The sequence below is a fragment of the Homo sapiens genome, chromosome 2 (genome assembly GCF_000001405.40).
Source record: "Homo sapiens chromosome 2, GRCh38.p14 Primary Assembly".
Lineage (NCBI taxonomy): Eukaryota > Metazoa > Chordata > Mammalia > Primates > Hominidae > Homo > Homo sapiens.
The window spans coordinates 119,844,022-119,865,922 of NC_000002.12; the positions used below are offsets into that span (position 1 = coordinate 119,844,022).

The following is a 21,901-nucleotide window of genomic DNA, read 5'->3' on the forward strand; positions in this document are numbered from 1 at the left end:
GGGGCTCCTCACTTCCCAGTAGGGGCGGCCGGGCAGAGGCGCCCCTCACCTCCCAGACGGGGCGGCTGGCCGGGCGGAGGGCTGACCCCCCCACCTCCCTCCCGGACGGGGCGGCTGGCCGGGCGGGGGGCCGACGCCCCCCACCTCCCTCCCGGACGGGGCGGCTGGCCGGGCAGAGGGGCTCCTCACTTCCCAGTAGGGGCGGGCGGGCAGAGGCGCCCCTCACCTCCCAGACGGGGCGGCTGGCCGGGCGGAGGGCTCACCCCCCCACCTCCCTCCCGGACGGGGCGGCTGGCCGGACGGGGCGGCTGGCCGGGCGGGGGGCTGACCCCCCCCCCCCACCTCCCTCCCGGACGGGGTGGCTGCCGGGCGGAGACACTCCTCACTTCCCAGATGGGGTGGCTGCTGGGCGGAGAGGCTCCTCACTTCTCAGACGGGGCAGCTGCCGGGCGGAGGGGCTCCTCACTTCTCAGACGGGGTGGTTGCCGGGCAGAGGGTCTCCTCACTTCTCAGACGGGGCGGCCGGGCAGAGACGCTCCTCACCTCCCAGACGGGGTCTCGGCCGGGCAGAGGCGCTCCTCACATCCCAGATGGGGCAGCGGGGCAGAGGCGCTCCCCACATCTCAGAGGATGGGCGGCCGGGCAGAGATGCTCCTCACTTCCTAGATGTGATGGCGGCTGGGAAGAGGCGCTCCTCACTTCCTAGATGGGATGGCGGCCGGGCGGAGACGCTCCTCACTTTCCAGACTGGGCAGCCAGGCAGAGGGGCTCCTCACATCCCAGACGATGGGCGGCCAGGCAGAGACACTCCTCACTTCCCAGACGGTGTGGCAGCCGGGCAGAGGCTGCAATCTCGGCACTTTGGGAGGCCAAGGCAGGTGGCTGGGAGGTGTAGGTTGTAGTGAGCCGAGATCACGCCACTGCACTCCAGCCTGGGCACCATTGAGCACTGAGTGAACGAGACTCCATCTGCAATCCCGGCACCTCGGGAGGCCGAGGTTGGCGGATCACTCGCGGTTAGGGGCTGGAGACCGGCCCGGCCAACACAGCGAAACCCCGTCTCCACCAAAACCAGTCAGGCGTGGCGGCGCGAGCCTGCAATCACAGGCACTGGGCAGGCTGAGGCAGGAGAATCAGGCAGGGAGGTTGCAGTGAGCCGAGATGGCAGCAGTACAGTCCAGCTTCGGCTCCGCATGAGAGGGAGACCGTGGGGAGAGGGAGAGGGGGAGGGGGAGGGGGAGGGGGAGGGAGAGGGAGAGGGAGAGGGAGAGGGAGAGGGCATTTTTCTTTAAATGTAATTTTTTTCTTTAAATTCACCAGGGAAACCATCTGGATCTGATTTTTTCTTTATGAAAAGTTGTTTCTAATTCAGTCTCTTTACTTATGATAGGTATATTTAAAATTTTTATTTCTTCTTGAGTTAATACGTGTAGTTTGAGTCTTTCTGGCAATTTGTCCATTTCATCTACATTATCTATCGGCATACATTTGTTCATAATGTTCCTTAACATCTCTTTTTTCCCCTTGTAACTTCAGTATTAATGTACCTTCTTTTATTCCTGGTTTTAATAACTTTTTACTCTTTTTTTGTTCTTTCTCAGTCTACCTAAAGGTTTATTAGTTTTTCTGATCTTCTCAAAAAACTAACTTTCGGTTCTGTTGATTTTCTTTATTGTTTTTTAATTCTCTATTTTATACATTTCTGCACTAACTTTTCTTTCTTTGTGCTTTGGGTTTAGATTTGTATAGTGTCTTCAGATAAAAGATTCTTTATATGAGATCTTTTCTTTTGTTATGCAGTCATTTGTAGCTATAAATTTTTCTCCAGTTTACCTGCATCCCATCAAATGTGATATGTTGTTATCTTCATTTTCATTTATATCGAAGTATTTTCTAATTTCTCTTGTGATTTCTTCTTTGACCCCTTGGTTATTTATGAGTGTGCTATTTAATATCGACATATTTGTGAATTTTCCAAATTTCTTTCTGTTACTGATTTCTAGTTTGATTCCATTTGTTGTTGGAGAATATGTTGGGTATTATTTCAGTTCCTTTAAATTTACTGAGGTTTATTTCATGGCCTACCATATGGTTTATTGTGGAGAATATTGCATGTGCACTTGAGAAGAATGCCCATTCTGCTATTGTTGGATGGAGTGTTCTGTCTGACCTGTCAGTCAGGTCTCGTTAGTTTATGGCATTGTTCCAAGTCTTTTATTTCCTTGCTGATCTCTGCCTTGTTGTTTAATATGTTATTGAAAGTTGAGTATGGGAGTCTCCAACCATTATTGAATTGTCTGTTTTATAGGTACATATATTTTTATGTTTGTATCTTCTGATGGAACGACCTTTAGCGTTATAAAATTTCCCTCTTTGACTCTAGTAACATTTTTATTTTAAAACTTTGTGTGATATTAGTATAGCTGTTCCACCTTCCTTACGGTGTAACTTTTTAAATCCTTTACTTATTATATATTTGTATTTCTGAAAGAAAAGTGTGTCTTTCTTTAGCAGCATATACTTGCGTCTTATTTTTTTTTTTTACCAGTCTGACATCCCTGCCTTTTGATTGATTTTTGTTATGTCAGTTAATGTTATTATTGATATGGTTGGATTTATATTTGTACTATTTTACTTTTTGCTTTTTTTGTTTCTCTTTTCCTCCTTTATTGCTTTCTTTTACATTCAGTGCATATTTTCTTGTGTAACATTTCAATTCCTTTAATGGTTTTTTCAGTTTTCTTTTTTTTAACTAGTTGCTTTAGGACTTAACCAGATACATCTTAACTTATCAGAATACTTCAGGCTTATAATAACTTAATTACAGTGAGATATAGAAATGTTACTTTATATAGCTCAGTTTCCTCTTTCCCCTTCTTGTGCTATTATTCTTATATATACATATATTACAAACCCAAAAATATATTCTGTAAAATTATTACTTTATATAATTTATGTAATTTTATGTCTAGTAAGCTGAGAGAAGAGAGGAGAGCAAGTATGTATATATAGAAATTGTATATTAGCCTTCTATTGATCATTTCTGGTGCTTTTCATTTCTTTCTATAGATTCACGTTACCATCTGGTATCATTTCCATAGGCCAAAACAACTTTGATTCCACTATAATTATATACATATACATATATATGTATACATATAAAAAAATATATAGAGTATATATATACACACATATGGTTTTATACTATTTATACTATAATAAATCAGTTAAGAAAAAAAGGAGATACTCTATATACACACACACACACACACACACACACACACACACACACACATATATATATATATTTTTTTTTTTTTTTTGAGACAGAGTTTTGCTCTTGTTGCCCAGGCTGGAGTGCAATGGCGTGATCTCAGCTCACTGCAACCTCCGCCTCCCAGGTTCAAGTGATTTTCCTGCCTCAGCCTCCTGAGTAGCTGGGATTACAGGCATGCACTACCACGCCCAGCTAATTTTGTATTTTTAGTAGAAACGGTATTTCTCCACATTGGTCAGGCTGGTCTCGAACTCCTGACCTCAGGTGATCCGCCGCCTCGGCCTCCCAAAGTGCTAGGATTACAGGTGTGAGCCACCATGCCTGGCCAGAGATACTCTGTTTTATAGTTACTCATTTACCTGTACCAGTGCTCTTTGGTTTTTCATGTAAATTCATATCACTGTCTGGGGTCACTTTTTTTCAGCCTGAAGAACTTCCTTTGGTATTTCTTGTAAGGTGGATCTGCTGGCAACAAATACTCTCAGTATTCATTTATGTGGAAATGACTATCTTTATTTTGCCTTCGTCTTTTAAAGATGTGCTGAGTACAAGATTCTTGGTTAGTGTTTTTGCCTCTTTCAGTGCTTTGAATATGTCATCCAGGTGTCTTCTGGCTTCTGTTGTTTCTTATGGCAAGTCAGCTATTCATGTTTTTGGAGTTTCCTCGTACATGAGGAGTTGTCATTTTTTCTTTTGCTGCTTTCAAGATATTCTTTGTTTTTTGGGGGCATTTTTACTCTAATGCTTCTTGGTGTGGATCGTTTTGCATTTATTGTACTTACAGTTCATTGAGCTTTTTGCATGAGTAGATTAGTGTTTTTCATCAAATTTGGGAAGTTCACATCCACATTTCTATTTTTTTTTTCTCCTTTTTCTTTTTCTTTTTTTTTTTTGAGATGGAGTCTCGCTCTGTCACCCAGGCTGGAGTGCAGTGGCTCCATCTCGGCTCACTGCAAGCTCCGCCTCCCGGATTCACACCATTCTCCCGCCTCAGCCTCCCGAGTAACTGGGACTACAGGCGCCCACCACCATGCCCGGCTAATTTTTTGTATTTTTAATAGAGACGGGGTTTCACCGTGTTAGCCAGGATGGTCTCAATCTCCTGACCTCGTGATCCACCTGCCTCAGCCTCCCAGAGTGCTGGGATTACAGGCGTGAGCCACCACACCCAGCCCACATCCACATTTCTTTAAATAATTTCTTCCGTTTCCTTCTCTCCTCTCCTTCTGGTACTGTCATTATACATACATTGGTGGGCTCTTAATGGTGCTTGCATATCTCTGAGGCTCTTAATTTATCTTCTTTTTATTTATTTTTTTTGAGACAGAGTCTCACTCTGTCACCCAGGCTGGATTGCAGTGATGCAATCTCGGCTCACTGCCACCTCTGCCTCCTGGGTTCAAGCGATTCTCCTGTCTCAGCCTCCTGAGTAGCTGGGATTGCAGGCACATGCCACCACGCCTAGCTAGTTTTTGTATTTTTAGTAGAGACGGGGTTTCACAATGTTGGTCAGGCTGGTCTCAAACTTCTGACCTCGTGATCCACCCACCTCGGCCTCCCAAAGTGCTGGGATTACAGGCGTGAGCCACCACACCTGGCCTCTTCATTCTTTTTTCTCTGTATTATTTGGATTATATAAGCTGTTGATCTGCTTTCAAGTTTGCTGATTATCTTTTTTCAGTTCAGATCTACTGGTGAGCCCCTTAAATATATTTTTCATGACAGGTATTTTTGTGAAAAACCATTTGATTTTGTTTTATAATTTCTATCTCTTTATATTTTGTATCTGAGATATTGTCATCATACCTTTCATTACCTCTTTAAGCATGGTCTCCTTTAGTTCTGTGGATATATTTATAATGACTGCTTTGAAGTATTGTTCAGTCTGACATGTAGGCCCTCTCACGAGCAGTTCCTGTTACCTGCTATTTTTCTTCTGTTTCTCTTATATGTTTCTGTTTCTTCTCCTGTGTTATGTTTTCGTTTAAACTTGACGTTTTACTTTATTTTATATGTTTTTGAGATAGGGTGTTGCTTTGTCACCCAGGCTGAAGTGCAGTGGTTGTGATCATGGTTCACTGCAGCCTCAACCTCCCAGACTCAGTTGATCTTCCCCCTCAGCCTCCTGAGTAGCTGGGATTACAGGCACACAGAAACACATCTGGCTAATTTTGTACTGTTTTTGCAGAGATGGGGTTTCACCTTGTTGCCCAGGCTGATGTCGAACTCCTGGGCTCAAGCAATCCACCCACCTCAGCCATCCCAAAGTGTTGGGATTAGAGGTGTGAGCCACCGCATCCAAGCAAACCGGACATTTTAGATTGTGTATTGTAACTATTGATAATATATTGACCCCTCCCTTCCAAGGCTTGTCGTTATTGTTTACTTGTTTTTCAGTGATTTGATTGAACTATTTTAGCCTCTGATATCTTCTCACAGTGCGCACAGCATTAGGCATTCTCACAGTCACCCTGGGATGACAGTGGTTTATCAGGGCTCTGTTTGACTCCTCTGATTTCTGTTAGGTTAACTACCTCTGTCAGTTTCATATGCAGCTGTTAAGCTTCAATAATTATTGTCTAATTTCTACATTTTTTTCATCAGTATATAAATAGAGCATAAATTGTTCCACAGTCTTGATCCAGTTAAATCTAAGCCCCTTTGCAGGGATAGTTCTTGAGGCCAATCTTTGATGTTTGTTCTGACTCTAGGAGGGTTCTTACTTTATTTGTCTTACCTGCTTATCGTATTTCCCTGGTTATCTCTGGTAAACTAGCTGACGTATGTTGTTTTCAAGAGCACTCTTAGACTGGAACTTCTCTATACTCGCTACCAAATAAAGTCAGTTTCTTTGGGTAGAGTTTTAAAGTTTTCTGTTCTTGTGGCCTGTCTCCCTTTAACACAGCTTCTCCACTGCCCTGGAGCTGGGGTGGGGACAGTGTTCGGCTTCTCTTGGAGTGAAACTCCTGCCTTACAAGCAGGGCTCTTGTAGGGGCAGTGTCCTTTACTTGATTTGCCTCTCCCTACATGGAATTTCTGCCCTATGAGTAAGCTGAGGCAAGGGTGATTAGGGCTCAGTATTCTGGACCATCTGTGTCTGAGGTAGAGTCTTGCCCTGCAGGCTTTGGGTGGAGGAAGGTTGCTTTTGATTCTTTGACATACCATTCTGGAATTTAAATTGTGATAATGTTGCTGGGAAGCATGAGAAGTGCTGGTGGTCTGCCTCTCCTATATCCCTTGACTAGGATCTGGGGAAGAAGGGATTTGCATCTTCCTGGCCATATTTTCCCAGAGTGGAACATTGGCCAGGGCAGAAGAAGGAGGGAGTGGGTTGTGGCTCAAGTGCCACAGGGTCTTGCTGATTTTACTGAGATTGAGTAGACTTTGTGGAATAAATGCTGTTTTCTTTGTTACTTTCTTTTAGGTGAATTCTCCAAGACTAAATTCTTGCTTTTTGTTTTTGTTTTATAATTTTCCCTAATAGTAGTTGTTATGCTCAGGAGCAGATCCATAGAGTTCCTTTCTGTACATTATTACTTGATTGATTTTTAAGCACTGAACCAGCCTTGCATCTGTGGTAAAACCCCATTTGGTCATGTGTATAATCCTTTTGAGATATTGCTCAGTTCCCTTGCTACTATTAATATTTTTTGAGGATTTTTGCATCTGTGTTCATGAGAAACATTAGTCTGTAGTTTTCTCTTTTATACTGTCTTTTTCTGTTTAAGTATCAGGCCAATGCTGGTTTCATAGAGCAATTTGGGAAGTTCCATCCTCTACTGTTTTCTGGAGGAAGATTGTGTAGAATTATTCTTAATTCTCATCTAAATGATTTGTATTTTTTAGACTTCTCCAGTGAAATCAGGCCCAGGAGATTTGTTTTTGGGGAGGTTTGCTTTGAAACTGTTGTTACCGGTGGAAGGTGTCCCGAGTTACCGGCAGTGAATCCTTACAGGTCTGCAGCAACCTTAATTCTTGCCTCCTTATAAGAAAGAATTCCACTGAGGGTCATATGGTAGAAAAAGAGACTGAGGCAAGTTTCAGCAGGAGTGGAAGTTTATTAAAAAGCTTTAGAACAGGAAAGAAAGGAAAGTGCACTTGGAAGAGACCCAAGTGGGCACCAAGAAGGTCAAGTGCCACGTTTAACTGTGATCCTAGGACTTTATAGGACTTCTGGCATCTTGGAACCCTTCCCCATGATTCTTTCCTTACGGTGGGCTGTCCATATGCACAGTGCCCTTCTTACCCTTTGGAAGTGAGCACATGCAGTGGATTTAGGAAGTTTTATACATGCCCATCTGAGGCTTTCTTCCCTTTTCCAGTGGTGTGCCCTCGGAAAGCCAGGCTCTGCTATTTTGTCTCTTAATGCACATGCCTGGGTTCCCTCACCCAACACCTGAGATTTTATTGGATGCCCTTTTTACTTCTCCCTGGGGCCTGCATTCAATTAACACTTTATAATGTTAACAGCTGTAGATTATCAGGAGATTGTCTGTCCCTGCCTCCGGCTGCTGAATTATCTTTAGAGAGGCAATGCAATAATTGTGGAACCATCACCTGATCACCTGACATTCCTGGTGGATGGGGAGAGCCCTCTCCTGCCTGGCTTATGCCTGCCTAACTACCTGTAACACTATGATTTCAATTTTAAAATTATTGTGTGTCTTTTAAAATGATCTATTTCATATTAGGTGAATTTTAGTAGGTTTTGGTCTGTGAGGAATTTGTCTGTTTCATCCAAGTTCTCAAATTTATGCTTAATAGATTCCTTTCTCCTATTTTGTTACCTTGTAAATGTTTTTGGAGTGTGTAGTTACATCCTCAGCTTTGTTGGGACAACTAAATTCCTCTTCAAAGACTCAACTTCCTGGTCATAAGTTGTAAATCAACCCTACCTCCTTCTTTTTTCCGCTTCTCCTTTTCTTGCAGATTGCGCGTTTACCCTATTTGGGAAAAAAAATTAGGTCTAAGCCAACGGGGATCAGCTTAGGTTGTGCGGTCTGACCCCAGCCAACAGGGGAAGGACACAGAAACAGGAGCTGTGTTAGGGTTAAAAACCCCTTCCTTCCTTTGTTCAGTGTGCTCTTGCAGTTGTAACAGGTGCAGGCAACACCCTTCCACCAAAGTAAAAGTGCCTTGCTGAGAAATTTTCTGTTTAGGTGCGGGTTTCTTTTGGCTACGCCAAGCACTTGTTTCTGACAGCTTCAATTCTGTAAAGGTTGATTTGTGTCTTTTTTTCCCCTTTTTATTTTAGTCTTGTTTGAGGTTTGTTAATTTCATTGATCTTTTCAAATTGACCAGATTTTTGTTTTACCAATTTTGTCTATTTTTTGTTTTCAAATACTTAGATTTCTGCTCTTTCCTGTATTCCCTAATTTTGGTTTATTTTCTCTTTTTCTAATTTTCTTTAGGTAGGAGCTTAGACTTGATTTGAGACCTTCCCTTTTTTTAATGTAACATTTAGGTTTATAAATTTTCCTCTCAGCTCTGCTTTGGCCTTATTCCACAAGTTTTGATATGTTGAGTTTTCTTTCAGTTCAGTGGTTTTTTTTGTTTTGTTTTGTTTTGTTTTGTTTTTCTCCAGAGTCCTCTTTGTCCTGTGGGTTATTTAGAAGTTGTTTAATTTCCAAATTTTTCCTATCTTTCTCTCACTGTGTTCTATTTTGATTTCATTATAGTCACAGAACACACTATGTGATTTCAGTTATTCTGAATTTAGTAAGGTTTGTTTTATGACCCAGGATATAGCCTGTCTTGTGAATGTTGATGGATGCTTGAAGAGAACATATATTCTGCTGTTGTCGAGTAGAGTGCCCTAGAAATGTCAGTCAATCCTATTAGTTAATATGTTGTTGGGTTCTTTTATATCCATGCTGATTTTCTTTTTTACATCTTTGCTGATTAATCTAGCAATTGCTGAGAGAGGGATGTTGACATCCCTAGTTATATGTGTCCCTTTTCTATGGCTTAAGTTGTTTTCTGCCATTTTATTACTAGTTTTATGACTTTATTATTTGTTTCCTTATTTTCTGTTTGTTCTGCTTTTCAATTCTGTTTTACTTTTTCTGCTCTTCTTAGATTTGTGGCATTTTCTAGAATTTCATTTTTGTTTTTATAGTGTCTTTGAGAGTAGTGTCTTTGAGTGTCTTTGGATAGCTTTTTTAGGTGATTCTTGCTATTATAATGTACATTAAAAATTTTTTATGCTATATCATTAACAACATTTTACCGCTTTGAGTACATATAAAAACCTTATCTACTTTTAGAGACCTTTGCCTTCCCCCTTTATAATATAATTATAATAGTATTGTGTTTTCCCCAATATAATATAACTGTGTTTAAGTATTTTTCTATATACATTAGGAGCACATCAAATAGGTATAATTTTTGCTTTAGCCTTTAAACATTTATTCTTAAAGAGAAGAATAGGCTTTTTTATTTACTTCCATTTCTCCCATTTCATTACTCTTTCTTCTTTTCTGTTGTTCCAAGTTTCTTCATGTTACTTACTTTCTGGTTGGAGAACTTCTGATAGGGCTCTGATGACTAGAGGAACACCAGGGTCCTTTGTCTCAGACCGATTAGATAAACAACACGGACACATGTGGCATGGTTTCAAGGTTTCAGTGAGTGGAAAGTTTAATAAGAAAGAAGGAAAAGGCTCCCCCATAGAGAGACAGAGGGAGCGGGGCTCTGAACGAAGAGGAAAACCCTGAGTGCACCAGAAAACAGTCTGTTATATTAGGAGGCTGGAGGAGGCGGTGTCTGATTTGCATAGGGCTCAGGGCATTGGTTTGACCAAGTGTGTCATTCACATAGTCTGTGAAAAACCTGGCTCTCCCACCCTGGCCTTTTAATATGCAAATGCAGGTCTCCATGATGTCCTGCACACGCGGAGTCATCTGGAGGCAGCCATGACACTTGGCACACATGGTGATGAGGAGGAGACGGAGGAATTACCATGCTGAATGGACCCAGTTTCTAATCACCAGCATTTGCATATCAAAGCTTGCTGGCCTGGCTTTTTAAGCTGCTTTTCTATTAGAAAAGAAATGTTTGAGGAGCTACCTTTATTAAAAGAAAAAAACCTTACTGAGGACTCCTTACCCTATCTGCGTAAAATAATTTCTTAATAACTCCCGTAATATTCCCCCCTGAGGAGATGTCACCTTAACTGCTGTTAGAGAGTTTTGGGTGACGACTCTTTCTGGCCACTTCCTGCTGAAAAGGGGCGTCAAGTGGGGAAGAGCAGCTAGGGTTCCTCTTGGAGTCGATCTAAGGGTCCTTGGAAGAATGGCCTGCCCATGCATGGTTCGTTTTGCAGCACCATTTGGAGTTTGATTGCTTCTAGGCAAGAGAAAACAATTTGAGTTATAGTATTGAGTATACAAGGTGCAAATATGAATACAAGATGTGTAAGCAAGAGGGGGCTTAATAAAAGAGCTAACCAATTCCGTAAAGATGATTGGAATTCATTAAAGAGGGATTATGGCCACCCGGGCTGAAGCCTGCGTTGTTTCTTAGCCTGTCAATTATTTTGATTTGATCTTTAAGTACCTGTATGTTTTCTTCTACTTGACTAGAGGTGTTAATCCAGAAACAGCGTGTTTCATTTAAAAGTGCACAGGTACCTCCTACTTCAGCTATGAGGACACCTAAGGCCTGTCTATTTTGTGCTACTACTGAGGTTTTTAGTCTGTAGATTGCTGTTGTGCCTCTATGACACTTAGAGTTGCTTTCCATCCTTGTTGTATCATAATGGAAATATTAAGTACTGATCTTTCAAGGAGAGGGGTGCCCATAAACCAGAATAGACCTCTGTCTATAGAATTTCTCATCCATGGTTTTTCTAAGATGATGTTTTCACGTGCATGTCCTCCCCAGTCTACCCTTTCAGTTAAATCTCCATACAAGGGCATAGAAATGATAGATCTCTTTGTCCAGCATATACAAGATAATGCAGTTTCCAGAAAAGACCCTAAGTTAGGGATGTCCCCAGATGATGCTGCTGTCTCGGTAGAATTTAAAAATAACAAGTTGGGAACTATTGCTACTATAGTACAAGTTCCCTTACAAGGCCTTGGGAGGATTAAGTTTATCCAGGAGCCGCAAAGAAAATATAGCCCTGTTCCTTGAAGGGACGGTTCTAAGTTGTGGCTTGTGAGAGACACCGGCAGATTTTTCTCATATCTTAGAAGTTTCCCTTCTTTACATATAATAGGGGCATCCTTGGGATAAGGATATCCGTCTTTAGGATAGTCATTTACGATGCCGTTTGGAATTTGACATGCCAAGTGAAAAGGATCCACCTGACAAGTGGAGTTTGGAAAAATCAGAGACGTAATATGCCCTGGCCAGTATCTCAGATGATCCTGTGGCAAGGGCTGTCAGTCCAGATGTCTCCAGTTCCCCCACAGATCTGTAAGCTGCTACTATGAGCAAGCATCATACAAGGGTCTGGAATTCCATGGGGGAATGTTTGGAAAGGCTCATGTGTTATTTTATTTATTATTATTTTTTTTTGAGACAGACTCTGTCTTTGTTGCCCAGGCTGGAGTGCAGTGGCGCGATCTCAGCTTACTGCAAAGCTCCGCCTCCTGGGTTCACACCATTCTCCTGCCTCAGCCTCCCAAGTAGCTAGGACTACAGGCACCCGCCACCGCACCCAGCTAATTTTTTGTATTTTTAGTGGAGACGGGGTTTTACTGTGTTAGCCAGGATGGTCTCGATCTCCTGACCTTGTGATCTGCCCACCTCAGCCTCCCAAAGTGCTGGTATTACAGGCATGAGCCACCGCGCCCAGCCTATGTAATTCTTTACATTATAGTCAACATGGTGACTTAGAGCATATCACTCCCATCGGGACTTTCAACCAGAAGGAGAGGCTAGATTCTGAAAGCCCCCCATTAGGGCTTCTCATCCTTTTAGATCGCTCCTGTTGCGTTTTCCTCCCCACATCTTTGAACTATCAGCAGTTACAAGTGTGATGTTACAGTATCTGAGATCTCCCAAGTATGGTCCTTCCCTACTGCTTTTAAAGCAGAGGGAGCCATTTGCTATTACCCGATCAACTTTTACCAGCCTGAGGGTGTGAAATTTATCTTTGGGGAGAATGTTGTTTGGCACTGGGGGAAGAGTGTTCTCCTGAGAGGAGTTAGTTACCCAGTTAAAAGTGCCCCCATACTATGTCCCATTTATGCCTCATAAATCTTTAAGGGTTAAAGGTAAAGCTAACAAAGGGAATCCTACGATGATGAGTTGTGGGTCATTGAAGGGTTCCTTAGTGTCATTAAACTGAGCAAACCACTTAGGACAGACCCAACAATTAGTCTTGTTGTCCAAATGGGCCATGGCTGATACTGCAGGAGCCAAAGGATGTGACATATTACTAAGTCTGATAAGAAGTCTTAACAGACTTATTGGTAGTAAAACGCTCATGTTTACTTCCTGTTAGTAACTGTTATTCATACTAGGAGGATAATAATTAAGCAAAGTGCTACAGTAATTGAGATTCTCTGTCCAATATTGTACCCTGAGGGTGCTACAGTCTATAATCCTACTGCAAATAGTAGAATGTAGCAATTCCTGCAGGTGTGGCATGGTAAATAACTTCCATCAAAAAGAAATTCTAATATTTGGCAATGAATCTTGAAAGGAGAGGTAGACACGGCAAAAAGTATTTGGTGAGGTAGGGGTGAGACTGAGTAAAATGAGTAGTTCTTACTCAGTTACTTATCTTTTGTGACTTTCAGCTTAAGATCTCCTATTTCTTTTTTACTTATATTTTTAAATTTTTTTTTATTTTGAGACAGTCTTACTCTGTCACCCAGGCTGGAGTGCAGTGGTGTGATCTTGGCTCACTGCAACCTCTGCCTCCCGGGTTCAAGGAATTCTCTCTCAGCCTCCCAAGTAGCTGCTTTTCAAGCTGCTTTTCTATTAGAAAAGAAAAGTGCAGGGCACGGTGGCTCATGCCTGTAATCCCAGCACTTTGGGAGGCCAAGGCGGGCGGATTGCCTGAGGTCAGGAGTTCCAGACCAGTCTGGCCAACATGGTGAAACCCCGTCTCTACTAAAAATACAAAAAAAATTAGCCAGGCTTGGTCGCGTGTGCCTGTAATCCCAGCTACTGGGGAGGCTGAGGCAGGGGAATTGCTTGAACCAGTGAGGTGGAGGTTGCAGTGAGCCGAGATCACACCACTGCACTCCAGCCTGGGTGACAGAGTGAGACTCCATCTCAAAAAAAATAAAAAAGAAATGTTTCAGGAGCTGCCTTTACTAAAAGAAAAAAAAAAAAAACCTTACCGAGGACTCCTTACCCTAACTGCCTAAAATAATTTCTTAATAACTCCTGTAATATTTCCTAGAGCATTATTTTAGGAAAATGATCTGTTGGTGATAATTTCCTTAAATTTTTCTGAGAATATTATCATTTACTCTTCATTCCTATTGAGTATTTTCTGTTGACATAGAATTCTGGATTGGCAGGCTTGGGTTTTGTTTGTTTGTTTGTTTAGCACTTGAAGTTTTTTTGTACATTTCCTGATATGGTTTGGATGTTTGTCCCCTCCAAATCTCATGCTGAAATGTGATTCCCAGTGTTGGAGGTAGAGCCCAGTAGAAGGCAATTAGATCATGGGAGCAGATCCCTCATAAATGGCTTGTGACCAAGCCCTTGGTGATATGCGAGTTCTTGCTCAGTTAACCTGAAATCTGGTTGATTCTGGGACCTCCCACACTGGCTCTTTTACTCCTGCTCTTGCCGTGTGATGTGCCTGCTTCCACTTTGCCTTCTGCCATGATTGTAAGCTTCCCGAGGCCCTCAACAGAAGCTGAACAGATATCTGTGCTGTGTATACAGGCTGCAGAACCATGAGCCAATTAAACTCCTTTTCTTTATAAATTACCCAGTCTCAGATATTTATTTACAGTGATGCAAGAACAGCCTAACACATTTCCTTTTGGCCTTCTTGGTTGCAGATGAGAAATTCATTCTAATTTGAATTGTCATTGCCTGTTGGTAATTTCTTTTTTTAAGTTGCTTTCAAGATGTTTACTTTGTGTTTAGTTTTTAGTATTTTGATTATGATGTGTTATAAGGTAGATTTATTTTGATTCATTTTGTTTGGGGTTCACTTGGATTCTTGAATCTGTATTTTTGTTTTTGCCAAATTTGTAAAAATTTTATTTTACAAACAAAATACTCAAATGTTTTATTATTTTATCATCCTAGAAACTCTTCCTCATCTCTTAAATACTGGAGTGAAATGAATGTCACCTCATTTTTTTCTTGTCCCACAGGTTGCTGACAGTCTGGTTGTTGTCATCTTTTTATTTTTTCAGTCTGTTTTTTCTGTTGTTCTTTTTTTTTTGAGATGGAGTCTCGCTCTGTTGCCCAGGCTGGAGTGCAGTGGTGCCATCTCTGCCTCCCAGGTTCAAGCGGTTCTCCTGCCTCAGCCTCCCGGGTAGCTGGGACTACAGGCACGTGCCACCATGCCCGGCTAATTTTTTATATTTTTTTAGTAGAGACAAGGTTTCACCATATTAGCCAGGATGATCTTGATCTCCTGACCTCGTAATCTGCCCACCTCAGCCTCCCAAAGTGCTGGGATTACAGGTGTGAGCCACCGCACCCGGCCCTTTTCTGTGTTGTTCTTATTGAGTAATTTCTATTGCTTTTTCTTCAGGTTCATTGATTATTTTTTTTCTTTCTTATCTTTATTCTTTTGTTGAGCCCATCTAGTCAGTTTTTATTTGTTATTGTATTTTTCAGTTATATAATTTGCATTTGGTTCTTTTATATCTTCTATTACTTTGCTGAAATAATCTTTGTTTTTTTCTAATTTCTTTTCAACAGCATTCATAATGGTTGCTTCCATTGAAACATTTTTTTCTGATGACTGCTTCCAAATCTTTGTCAGATAATTCCAATATCTGATTCCTTTCGGTGTTGACATCTGTTGATTGTGTTTTCTTATTCTAGTTGGGATTTTCCTAGCTCTTGCTATAATAAATGATTTTAGGTAGTATCTCAGACATTTGAGACATTTTGTTACGAGACTTTGGATCGCATTTAATTGGCTTTGTAGTAGGGAGTCACCTTGGTAGCATACAGGTCTTGGCTTACTTTTTAAATTTTGGTCAGTTTTACATGTAGTCAGTTCGTTGTTAAGTGTCCTATCCAGGATTACATTTCAAGATTTAACTATCCCTTTTTCCATCTACCTTGTCTCCTGAATCTTCTTCCTCCTGTCTGTTTGGGAGACACCACTTGCTACAGCTATGTGATGATAGCAGTGGAAGTCCAGGCTTCCTCTTCAGCTTCTCCTAGTACCAACTCAATAGGGGAAGCCGAACACCTCCTGCTACCAATAAGCCTAAGTGAAAGTTCAGGATATGTTTTCTGCTTCTGCTTAACACCACCCTAGAGGAGATATTATGAAGTACTACTCGGTACTGTTTGGAAGTGGGTATAAGTTCAGGCTTTTCACTTGCTGCCTGCTCAAACCAGGTGGCACATGAAACTAGGCTTCTTATTTGATTTCCGTGGACACTAGTAGAGAAGGGCTCAGTTTTTTTCCCATTGAGTTTGGCATTGTCAGGTTTCTGTCCTACCACGTACCCTTATCTGGTCCTTTTCCTAGAGAAAGCAGGCTTTTCTTGGGCTCTTTCATCAGCACCTATTAGCATTTCTGGGTAACAGAATTCTACAGTACCCAGTCTGTGATATATAGGAAGTGAAAAGAAAATGCAAGGTCTAGAGTCCAGAAATAAATCCATACATTTAGTGGAAGAAAGCATAGTTTCTTCAACCAAAGGTACATTGGATTCACCTTAGTAGCTTTTAAAAAAGATTAATGCTTGCTCTCTTCCCCAGACAAATATAATCAGAATGAGAGACAGGTCAGGGAGGTAGACTGTATCAGTATATAAAACATTTGCAGGCGATTTAAATGGGGGCCAACATTGAGAAGCTCTGTTTGAAGCACATACTTCCCATCATTGATGAGTTTTTTCAGATAGCCATTTGACCCAATTCTGGCCAATAAGAGTCTTTGTAAGGTAACTTTTACAAGGAAGCTTGTTCTTTTAAACATTGTCACATGGATATGAATCTTGGAATTGCTGTGAGCATCTTGCTAAAGGCTCACGAATATAGCCAACACTTGGAATGCAGATGAGAAAGATGGAAAGAAACCTAGTCTTAATGTCCCTCATCTGCCAAATTAGCTTGCGCTGGAGTCTTTTGTGCCTCTGTACTTTCCATTATATGAAAAAAAAATGTCCTTAGTGTTTCATCCATAAGTTTGAATTCTGACTGGTACCTGGAAGCTTCTAAACTGCTATAGCTAATGAGAAGAAAAACTAGTGGTAAAATATATTGCTATTCTCTACCATATCCATTTTCTGTTGCTATAACAGAATACCTGAGACTGGGTAATTTATTTTAAAAAGAGGTTTATTGGCTAGGCGCGGTGGCTCACATCTGTAATCCCAGCACTTTGGGAGGCTGAGGCAGGCAGATCACCTGAGGTCAGGAGTTCGAGACTAGCCTGACCAATATGATGAAACTCTGGCTCTACTAAAAATACAAAAATTAGCTGGGCGTGGTGGCATGCACCTATAATGCTGGCTACTCAGGAGGCTGAGACAGGAGAATCGCTTGAACGTGGGAGGCGGAGGTTGCAGTGAGCCAAGATCAGATTGTGCCATTGCACTCTAGCCTGGGCAACAAGAGCGAAACTCCATCTCAAAAAAAAAAAAAAAAGTTTATTTTGGCTGGGAGGTCCGGGATCAGATGGCCACATCTGGTCTGTTCTGAGGGTTGCGTGCTGTCATAACATGACAGAGAAGCAGAAGGGGAAGTGGGTGCATGTAAAAGGGATAGAACTCCAGGGGCAGCCTCACTTTATACCAACCCATTTGTGGTAATTAATCTAGTACTGTGATAGTGAGAACTCACTCGCTCCCTTGAGAATTAACCTTGTCCCTGGAATGTGACATTAATCCTTCTAAATGACCTAATCACCTCTTAAAGGTCCTGTCTCTCAAAATCACCATACCAGGGACCAAATTTTCAACACATGAATTCTAGGGGACAAACTCAAACCATTGCACATATTTTTCTAATATATGTTGTATATAAATGTAACGAGAATAAACTTCTCTAGTGAATTTATTGATAGGTATAGAAGTTTCCTCCAGTATTAGCTTTTGTTTGCTACTTATGTTAAGATGCCAGAGTAGTTGATATTGTTATTGCTTGTTTTGTCAAATTGCTTTCCCAACAGATATCTTTCTACCATGTTAGCAGCAATAAGTATTTCTTGTCTTTATTTTTTATCATTGGATTTTATTTTGGGGGTTGTTTGCCCATGGCATGTCATTATAATTTCCCATTTTCTTTTTTTATTTTAACTGAACATGTTGATCATTTGTCTGTTTTTACTCATAAGTTATATTTTTTATTGGAGGGGGATTATCTAATCATGCCTTTTGTACCACAGTTTAACAGCTTTGGAACTTGGGGAAGTTGTATTTACTCTTTAATGCCTACATGATAGAATTAGTATGAGGTTAAAATGAGATAGTTTTCTAAAGTTCTCTGAGTACTTTGGCAATGAAAATATTAGCAATCCTTTATCAGTTTGCTATAAATAATTGTTACCATCTTCGTTCCCCTTTTATGGCATTATAATACAAAATTATATTTTAAGTAATATTTAGCCAAATATGTCACTTTCCAGTCACAATTTAAATATAAGAATAAAAGGCATAACAAAATGATATAGATATATGCATGAGTTAATGTGGCAATAATATAAACTAAAAAAATATCGTGATAGCCTGAAAGTGAAAAGTATTTTCAATCAAATGTTTCTTTGTATTTTCATATTTATTATATGCTCTTTAAACCAGTTTGCCTAAGGTCAGGTTGTTTTCTAAAAGTGCTGTGTCACATGTGAAGTCTTTTTTCTCAACCAAGTCATTGGTATGAAAACAGTTACCAAGTTAACCCATTTATGCCTAGTGCTCCATTATTGGCTTGCTAAGCTTATGGGAGTTATTTATATCCTACTGCTCAAGGTCATTGCCAAGGCCTGATTTTTCACACAAAAAACGTTTGCTACCTCTGGCATAAATGGGTTAATAGATGAGGACAAAAGTCAACCAGGTTAAAAAATGTGAAGAATGTAACCTATCAAAGTTGATTTCATTCAATTTTTTTTTTTTTTTACAGAAACATGATCAGGGGCAAGTCTTGTTGGATGTCGTCTTCAAGCATCTAGATTTGACTGAGCAGGACTATTTTGGTTTACAGTTGGCTGATGATTCCACAGATAACCCAGTAAGTGTAAGATTTTGTCTTTCATTTTCATTTAGTTTTTCCTCTCAGTTTAGTGTAGAAAGTCCTTTCTGATTTACAGTGTTCACTGATTTGATGAGTTTTTTTTTTACTTGACTTAAATAGAGGTAATTCTTTTGCTTTTGTTCCTCTTTTCTTGACATTTTAATCTTTCAGAAGTTATTAGCTTTAAGGTTTTCATAATTATGTCAGGTAATGTCACTTTCATTAATTATGTGTCTCAGACAACTAAAAAGTAAATCCAATTTATGCCTGTTGACTGAAAGAGAGGAAATTGGGCATAAAGGTTAAAATACCTTCAGATGTATATAAATTAGTCTGCACTAAAGTAAAATTAGTTTTTTATTGTATTTATAGAGAGCTATTTCTAATAAAAATTCTTAATTTATTCAATGTCAAATTTCCAAATTTCATCAGAGACCCTCACAAATAAGATAGAGATTAAATTTCAGAGCTGTACAATTATTTGGCATTAAATTTCTTGGATTTTTACTTATTCTTCAGTAATTGCAATTGTGGTTCTTTTAATTAGATAGATCACATCATAGAAATAGAAGATAGCATGTGATGAATAATAGAAATGTTTACTTTGACAATTAAGTGTTATAAAATGCACTAAAGGATATACCTTACTCTGAACCGAGATAAAGGGTATACAAGCAAATTCTGATTGAATTCTTTGTAAATTTATATGCTTATACAGTGAGGGACTTCTGCAATAAAGTATATTCTTTTGATTAGTGTAAGAGGATCTCCATTTTGAAGGGAATATTTTGTATACTTTTAGAAAGATTAGGAGGCTGAAGAAATGGTTCTGGATTAATGTTTTAGAAATCTGTTTATAAGGCTATATTAATAGAAGGGCTATAGAAAATACAAATAATGTTTATGAGAAAAGTTGGTTTGTTTTTTTCTTCCTCTCTCTCATGGTTGGGATCTTCATTCTCTGAATGAATAGCTAGTGGGAATTATATATCAAACGTTAAATACTACCACTTATTTTTTTGACATCATTTACTGATTTTGTATTACAAACCAGTCATGGAAAAATACGAGGATGACACAAAGAAAAACAAACCAAGGGCCAGCTAGTTTCAGTGAAAATAAATGCTTTTATACTGAACTAAAATTAAAATAAACTTTCCTCATACTTTGATGCCTTCACTAGACCACTTGAGCTTCTTCAGGGGCCTAGAGTTATACTGTTGTTTCCTGATAAATAAACCCATGTAAAAATGGAAGTGAGTAGAAATGTCAGTAATGCAGCCTTTCCCAGGTTGAACCTAAAATAATCAAAAGGGTCAGAATGTAGTTTAAAGAGAGTTTATTCAAGTGCAAAGGTTGAGGACCTCAGCCCAGGATACACTTGCAAGTTGCCTTGGAGAGTGCTCTGGAGAACATAAGAAAGGTTCAAGTTTTTAAAGAATAAAGAGGATCACTCAGGAGAGTGAGTAAGTGCAAAAATTGTTCTTCAGGAATTCTCATTGACTTACAGAAATAACATTGGTTAGCGATTGGCTATACATGGTTGAACTATAGGGTGTATAACATTTTATGGCTACTTGGCTTCAGTCTGCAGCCCACATAGCAAGTAGCTTCAAGAGGTAACTATGTAGCTGAAGGGAGAGTGAGATGTGACTGCTGTTACTTTTTAAATGCCTTTCTTGCCCTGATCATTTAAAGGTGCTCCTATTCCTCAGATATAAGGTTTTTTTCCTTTCTTACCAGAAAGGCAAATTGTGAGCCAAGCAAATACCTGAAAGGTGACTGTTATACCTCATTAAGTATACCTCGTGAAGAGAAAAAATAGATAATTCTTAGCTCTTGCTGACCCTCATAAGTCAGGCCCTGTAGCTGTAGGCTGGCATTAGATTGACGGGGTAAGTGACAAGATGACAAAAGAGGAAGAGACCAGTGACTCACCACTGTAGTCACTACCATAAATATGAAAACAGTCCTTTTCAGGAAGTACTCCAGAAGGATTAATATCGAGATCATGTATACTACAAGAGATAAAAATTCTATCACATAAATTTGTATACAAAAAGACATATCATATACAAAAAGATGTAGGGCTAATTACACCAGAATGAATGTAGGGAAACAGGTATTTGGAGCTAGATTGATCTTTTTGCTGTCTCCTACTTTTTCTTTCTTTGTCTTTCTGTCTTGAGTATTCCTTCTCAAATAAGATACATTCCAAGTTCCAAGAGTCCAGTTGTTTATGATTCAAAGTAATTCTTCCAGAAAAGTTAGAATCATAGAATTTTAAAGGTCCAAAAGAGGCTTTAGAGATTATCTAGCCTCACACTCTAATTTTTCATAAGACATTATCCCAATCCAAAGCTACTTCCTGGCATTAGTGAAACTAGGACCTGGATCTCCTAACTCCCCATGCTAGTCTTGTCCACTGCACTGCAGTTTCATTATTTAAATATTTGGAAGAATTTCTGAGATGCCAAAATGTGTCCACAGAAAGATCTTTAGAGCACAAATCTTATAAACAGTGTCCCATTTCTAGTTGTCAAGAGCACAAATCTTGTAAGTAGAGTTCCAATTCTAGTTGTCAATGTGAAATTAAGGCTTTGAGGATAATTAACGGACTGAAGGAAAAAGATGCTATGCTTCAAGAGAAAGGAGTAGGGGAGTATCATTTATAAAACATCTGCTGTGAATTTGTTAATCAACTAAATAATATTCCATTTTATTCTCACAATACTTTCCTCACTTATGATGAAAGTGTCATTAAAATCATTTTAAAGATGAAAAACTAATACTTATAGAAGTCAACTAATTTGTTTAATGTCACGCAAATTAGTGAAGTAGCTGAGAAAGGACTTGAACTCAGATCTAACTTCAAAGCCTGTACTCTCTACCATATGATGTTGCTTCCCAAGTGATGATGATATAGATGCATAGGATTTACAGAGTAAATGAACATATTAAGGAGAGGAGGTAACCATATAATAAAATTACTATCAGTGATCCAAAGGAATTTGCTAAGATTCTACAAGAATTAATTCTCACCTATCTTTAGCTCATAATTTTTAAATCTTAAAACTTATGTATGTTACATATACATATGCACATGTATGTATATATTATGTGTATATGTGTATTTTTATATATTAGTTTTAGAGAATTAGAACTGTTGCCTTAGACATTGAAATTAATGTAATTGAGTTTATAATTGATAAACTTAAAAGGCACCTAGCATTTTGTTTTTTTCTCCTAAGTATGAAATAACAAATACAGAATAAT

General features: G+C 39.8%; 1 protein-coding gene across 1 annotated transcript in view, besides 1 other annotated feature; it reads left to right on the plus strand.

The window, feature by feature from the left end:
• Window positions 1–21,901, plus strand: part of PTPN4 (protein tyrosine phosphatase non-receptor type 4) — a 224,978-nt gene that overhangs the window by 84,100 nt on the left and 118,977 nt on the right. Inside the window, exon 3 of the mRNA NM_002830.4 lies at window positions 18,515–18,622. Within this exon, the coding sequence (NP_002821.1) occupies window positions 18,515–18,622 (108 nt within the window). The remainder of the gene's footprint in view (window positions 1–18,514; window positions 18,623–21,901) is intronic.
• Window positions 17,184–17,233: a silencer, noted in NCBI's record as "silent region_11914". NCBI's record gives its function as "represses an Ori minimal core promoter by ATAC-STARR-seq in GM12878 lymphoblastoid cells {active_cell/tissue: GM12878}" and the evidence as "EXISTENCE:reporter gene assay evidence [ECO:0000049][PMID:35858748]".